The sequence below is a fragment of the Homo sapiens genome, chromosome 6 (genome assembly GCF_000001405.40).
Source record: "Homo sapiens chromosome 6, GRCh38.p14 Primary Assembly".
In the NCBI taxonomy this organism is placed as follows: domain Eukaryota; kingdom Metazoa; phylum Chordata; class Mammalia; order Primates; family Hominidae; genus Homo; species Homo sapiens.
In genome coordinates, this window is record NC_000006.12 from 29158404 (window position 1) to 29164810 (window position 6407).

General features: G+C 41.6%; 3 annotated features.

Annotated features, from left to right (window-relative positions):
• Positions 973-1474: an enhancer, noted in NCBI's record as "H3K4me1 hESC enhancer chr6:29127153-29127654 (GRCh37/hg19 assembly coordinates)". NCBI's record gives its function as "activates a minimal SCP1, AML or CMV promoter by ChIP-STARR-seq in primed H9 embryonic stem cells {active_cell/tissue: H9 hESC(primed)}" and the evidence as "EXISTENCE:reporter gene assay evidence [ECO:0000049][PMID:30033119]".
• Positions 973-2209: a biological region, named in NCBI's record as "P300/CBP strongly-dependent group 1 enhancer GRCh37_chr6:29127190-29128389".
• Positions 1010-2209: an enhancer, noted in NCBI's record as "P300/CBP strongly-dependent group 1 enhancer chr6:29127190-29128389 (GRCh37/hg19 assembly coordinates)". NCBI's record gives its function as "activates an origin of replication core promoter dependent on BRD2, BRD4, P300/CBP, MED14 and CDK7 cofactors, with strong dependence on P300/CBP, by STARR-seq in HCT116 cells {active_cell/tissue: HCT116}" and the evidence as "EXISTENCE:reporter gene assay evidence [ECO:0000049][PMID:35650434]".

A 6407-nucleotide genomic window follows, 5' to 3' on the forward strand; every position in this document is an offset into this window, starting at 1 on the left:
CACTTCATAATTAAATTGTTCATACATATATATTGAAAGTGAACACCCGGCCAAAATTTAATCCCAATGATGACAAAATGTAAAATTGTTTTAAATTCTTGAATGCATATACTGATTTGTTTAATTGCCTGCATACTACTTTTTTTAATTAGAGACTATCAAAGTAAGTAATAAGAATTTAAATATTAACTCAAAAAAAGATGAAGCCTTCAACCTTCCTACAATAGTAACAAGCATTTTAAATAACAATACAAGGAGTCTGTAAGCTAAAAAGTAACTTCATATTCATTGCAAAACTTAAAATACCAGTGAATTGAAGATAAGATTGAGGTCTAAAATATTTGTACTGTATTGTAAAATACAATTTAAAATGTGCAGTTAATTTGCTTGTGGACATGTAATGGAATGTTTTTCAACAGTAATGTTATGTTAAACACACTTTAAATGGTCACTCTAAGCAAACATAACCTTACTAGCAAGAAAAGCGAAAAATTAAGGCTTTCATGCTATCTATATCTACTACACAAAGTCAAAAGTCAAATAGAGCTTACAATGTGGCAAAATATTTCTAACTTCTGTGACATTAGTTGCTTCACCTCAACTCAATACTTATCATCTTATCTTTATACAAACTCAAATGCTAGTTATCTTTACTATCCATAAATACAAATTAAACTAAGGAGCTTCCGCACAGCAAAAGAAACTATAAATAGAATAAACAGACAACTTACGGAAGGTGAGAAAAGATTCACAAACTATGCATACAACAAAGGTCTAATATCCAGAATCTATAAGGAACTTAAATCAACAAACATAACCCCATTAAAAAATTAACAAATGACAAAGGATGAACAGACACTTCTCAAAAGAAGACATAAAGGTGACCAATAAACATATGGAAAAAATTGTTCATCATTACTAATCATCAGAGAAACGGAAATCAAAACCACAATGAGATTCCATCTCACACCAGTCAGAATGGCTGCTATTTAAAAGTCAAAAAACAACAGATATTGCGGAGGCTGCAGAGAAACTCGAACGCTTATACACTGTTGGTGAGAATGAACATTAGTTCAGCCACTGTGGAAAGCAGTTTGGAGAATTTTCCAAAAGAACTAAAAACAGAGCTACCATTGGACCCAGCAATTCCATTACCGCGTATTTAGTCAAAGGAAAATATATCATTATACCAAAAGGACACACGCACTCATGTTCATGGCAGCACTATTCACAATAGCAGAGACATAGAACCAACCTAGGTGCCCATCAGTGGTGGATTGGATAGAGAGAATGTGGAGTTCCGGCAGAGACCCGGGTGAGACGCGCTGACCATGGGCCTGCGGAGGGGCTGGGGGTTCAGGACCTCCCGCAGCCTCTGCCCTGCAGGCTCCAGGTGCCCTCGCTGTGGCTCCCCTCGCGGGCCCAGGCCTGAAGAAGCCGCGAACCTCTCTTCCCTACCCCACCTCGGTGACAGATGGCAGCTCCTCTCTCAGCCCAGACCCCGCCGGCCTCCATGTCTCCCGGCCCAGCCCTGCGGGGCCTAAACTAAGCCCCTGCCGAGCTGCTAGGATGCAGCGCATTTGAGTGGCTGCGGGCGTGGGGGGCCGGGAAGCATGGTGACCGCCCCAACTCGCAGCGGAGGCCGTTAGGGTGTGGAGGGCGCGGGAAGGTGGGTCGCCTGCCACTGGGGCGCGGGCAGATCGGACCGCTCTGTCCCAACTGGTCGAGACCGACCTAGTCCTGACGACAGGAACAACGGTATTAACAACGGCCGGAAGGTGAGCGGTGTCCCAGACAACGACGGATAGCGGCCACCTGGCCACTGGTCTTCCTTCTCTACCAGACCTGTATGTGGGAAGAGAGAAGTGGTGGAACAACAGGCCACATTTGGCGCATTGGAGATGAAATTCTTGGTTGAAAATTCTTTTCTTTAAGAATGTTGAATATTGGCCCCCACTCTCTTCTGGCTTGTAGGGTTTCTGCAGAGAGATATGCTGTTAGTCTGATGGGCTTCCCTTTATAGGTAACCTGACCCTTCTCTCTGGCTGCCCTTAACTTTTTTTCCTTCATTTCAAGCTTGGAGAATCTGACAATTACGTTTCTTGGGGTTGCTTTTCTCGAGCAGTATCTTAGTGGTGTTCTCGTATTTCCTGAATTTGAATGTTGGCCTGTATTGCTACCTTGTGGAAGTTCTCCTGGATAATATCCTGAAGCTGTTTTCCAGCTTGGTTCCATTCTTCTCGTCACTTTCAGGTAAACCAATCAAACATAAGTTTGGTCTTTTCACATAGTCCCATATTTCCTGGAGGCTTTGTTTGTTCCTTTTCATTCTTTTTTCTCTAATCTTGTCTTCACACCTTATTTCAGTAAGTTGGTCTTCAGTCTCTAATATCCTTTCTTCTGCTTGATCGATTTGGCTATTGATCCTTGTGTATATCTTACAAAGTTCTCGTGCTGTGTTTTTCAGCTCCTCAGGTCATTTATGTTCTCCTCTAAACTGGCTAGTCTAGTTAGCAGTTTCTGTAACCTTTTATCAAGGTTCTTAGCTTCCTTGCATTGGGTTAGAACATGCTCCTTTAGCTCAGAGGAGTTTGTTATTACACACCTTGTGAAGCCTACTTCTGTCATTCATCAATCTCCTTCTCCAGTTTTGTGCCCTTGCTGGAGAGGAGTTGAGATCATTTTGAGTAGAAGAGGCATTCTGGTTTTTGGAATTTTCAGCGTTTTTATGCTAGTTTTTCCTCATCTTTGTGGATTTATCTACCTTTGATCTTTGAGGCTGATGACTTTGGATGGGGTTTTTGTGTGACGGTCCTTTATGTTGATGTTGACGTTGTTTCTGTTTGTTAGTTTTCCTTATAACAGTCAGGCCCCTCTTCTGCGGGTCTGCTGCAGTTTGCTGGAAGTGTACTCCAGACCCTGTTTGCCTGGGTATCACCAGCAGAGGCTGTAGAACAGCAAAGATTGCTTCCTGCTCCTTCCTCTGGAAGCTTCGTCCCAGAAGGGCACTGGCCTGATGACAGCTGGAGCTCTCCTGTGTGAGGTTCTGTCAACCCCTGTTGGGAGTTGTCTCCCAGTCAGGAGGCATGGGGGTTAGGGACCCACTTGAGGAGGGAGTGTGTCCCTTAAGAGAACTGGTGTGCTGTGCTGGGAGAATCCCTCTTGTCAGGATCAGCTGCTGTCTTCAGAGCAGGCAGGCAGGAACGATTAAATCTGCTTGTGCTGTGCCCACAGCCACCTCTTCCCCAGGTGCTCTGTCCCAGGGAGATGGGGGTTTTGTCTGTAAGCCTCTGACTGGGGCTGTTACCTTTCTTTCAGAGATGCCCTGCCCAGTGAGGGGGAATCTAGAGAAGCAGTCTGGCCACAGCTGCTTTGCTGCACTGTGATGAATTTGCCAGTCCATACCTCCGAGACTCCTTGGAACTGTCAGGGAAAATGGCCTACTAAAGCCTCAGTAATGGCAGACGTCCCTCATCCCATGAAGCTCAATTGTCCTAGGTTGACTTCAGACTGCTGTGCTGGCAGTGAGAATTTCAAGCCAGTGGTTCTTAGCTTGCTAGGTTCTGTGGGAGTGGGACCTGCTGAGCGAGACCACTTGGCTCCCTGGCTTCAGCCTCCTTTCCAGGGGAGTAAATGGTTCTGTCTCGCTGGGGTTCCAGGCATCACTAGGGTAGGAAAAATACTCCTTCATCTAGCTCTGTGTCTGCCCAAATGGCCACCCAGTTTTGTGCTTGAAACCTAAGGCCCTGGTGGTGTAGGCACACAAGGGAATCTCCTGATCTACAGATTGCAAAAACCATGGGAAAAGTGTAGTAACAAGCTAGGCAGCACTGTCCCTCATGGCTCCCCTGGCTCGGGGAAAGAGGTCCCCTGGCCTCTTGAACTTCCTGGGTAAGCAACTCCCCACCCTTCTTCTGCTTGCCCTCCATGGGTTTGACCTGCTGCCTAACCAGTCCTAATGAGAGGAACGGGGTACCTCAGTTGGAAATGCAGAAATCACCTGCCATCTGGATTGGTCTTGCTGGGAGCTGCAAACCAGAACTGCTCCTATTTGGCCGTCTTCGGCTTCATCCTTTTGTGTTTTTAAGAACAGTCTTCCCTATGAATTTTACCAAAAAGTGTACTCAGTACAGTAGTTTACTAACTCTACTTTTGTCATACACTAGAAACATCTTAATATCTACAAAGACTAGATGTTGAAAATTAGGACTAATTTGTCCACTTATATGCACTATATACACAGCACAGTAAAAGAAAATGCAGACATAAGGGACAATGGTAAAGTGTGCCTCACCATAAACACACTGGTATTTGAATTACCTTTTGCCCTTTCTGCTCCTCTTTCCTCCCTGAGCCAACACACATATAGTAATGTGTACTGCTCAGATAAGTGGTTTGATCCATTTCCCAAAGACAATATTTCATATGAATCAAAAGGATATCTACAAAGTGTTATTTACTCCCTCTACTTTTAACATACTTTGTGCACTTCTAGAAAGACTAGATGTTTCAAATAAGGACTTAAATTTGTCCACTATATACACAGGTAACAATGGTTATATCTGAAAGTGTCTTCTAAATAGGAACATTCTGGTCTAAAATCTTTCATTCCTTCTAACTCCTCTCTACCACCAACCTAGTGGATATAGGCATATGTGTCATTTAGAACTGATGTTATCATTTCACTTCCAAAAGTCCTTTTCAGAAGATAGCCTTTCTATGAATTTCAACAAAGTGTACAAAAATAGAGTTAGTAAACTAACTCTCATAAATTGTTATAAATTGGCAACCTCTTTAATATCTAGAGACTAGACTAGATATTATAAAATTAAGACTACTTCATCCAGTATACACACAATATATACAGTATAGCAAAGTTAAATGCAATGCATGTAACATATAGGTAATGGATTAAGCTGAAATTTTCTAGTAAACATTAGCAAAACACTTTTTATTTTTTATTTTTTATTATTATACTTTAAGTTTTAGGGTACATGTGCACATTGTGCAGGTTAGTTACATATGTATACATGTGCCACGCTGGTGCGCTGCACCCACTAACTCGCATCTAGCATTAGGTATATCTCCCAACGCTATCCCTCCCCCCTCCCCCCACCCCACAACAGTCCCCAGAGTGTGATATTCCCCTTCCTGTGTCCATGTGATCTCGTTGTTCAGTTCCCACCTATGAGTGAGAATATGCGGTGTTTGGCTTGGATGAAATTGGAAATCATCATTCTCAGTAAACTATCGCAAGAGCAAGACACTTTTTGCAATATCTTCCTTCCAATCTCCCTCAACCCAATGAACATGTACAGAGAGGACGCTGTTCACAGAGGTGGTTCAACAATGCCAGTTCCAAAAAGTATTTCTCATTACTTTTAAAAGATATTTACAGAAAGTGTTATTCTACTACTTCTATTTTTAAATACACCAAGCACTTCCAAATATCTAGAAAGATTAAATATTTCATATAACTTGTCCACCATGTACATGGCACTGTTAAATAAAATTGCACACACATAACAACAGTTATAATCTGAGGTATCTTCTAAACATGACCATTTTGGCCTTGAAGTAGTCCTTCCTTTCTTCTCTCTGCCTTTATTTCAGTAGACAAGTATAGGCATGTGTCATACTTTAGAAATGGTTGAACAAATTTAGATCCAAAAGTTATTTACAGAAGACAAGGTTTCCTATGAATTTCAACACAAAGCTTACAAAAAGTGCTAATTTTACTAAGTACTTTGTCATACACTGCCAGCCTCTTTAACATCTAGAGACTAGATGTTGCAAAATTAGGACTCATTTGTTCATTATATGCGCTATATACAGAGCAAAACACAATGCACAAAACATACAGAAAAATGGTGCCTGAAAATGTGCAAGTATGAGCACACTAGCATGTTACCTTTTGCAGTTTCATCCGTCCCAGCTCCTCTAAACTACTGAGCAAGTATAGACAGTACTATACCACTCACAAAGATGGCTTAATAATTCAATTTCCAAAACACAGTATTTCCTATGAATTTCAGCAAAAAGACATTTACAAAGTGAAATTTTGCTACCTCTACATTTAACATACATCAGGCCCTTCTAAACATCTAAATAGACTAGCGGTTTCAGGTAAGAAGTTAATCTGTCCACTATGTACACTGCAGCCTTGAATAAACTGCATACATGTAACAATAGTTATAATTTGAAGGAGTCTTCCAAATGTGAACATTCTGGCCTAAAAATCTTTCCATCTCCATCAACCCAGTGGGCAAGAATGCTCAAGTTTTCAGAAGACAATCTTCCCTAGGAATTTAAAAACAAAATGTACAAAAATATTAGTTTACTAACTCTACTTTTGTAATTCACTGGCAACCTCCATAACATCTAGAAAGACTAGATGTAAATTAGGA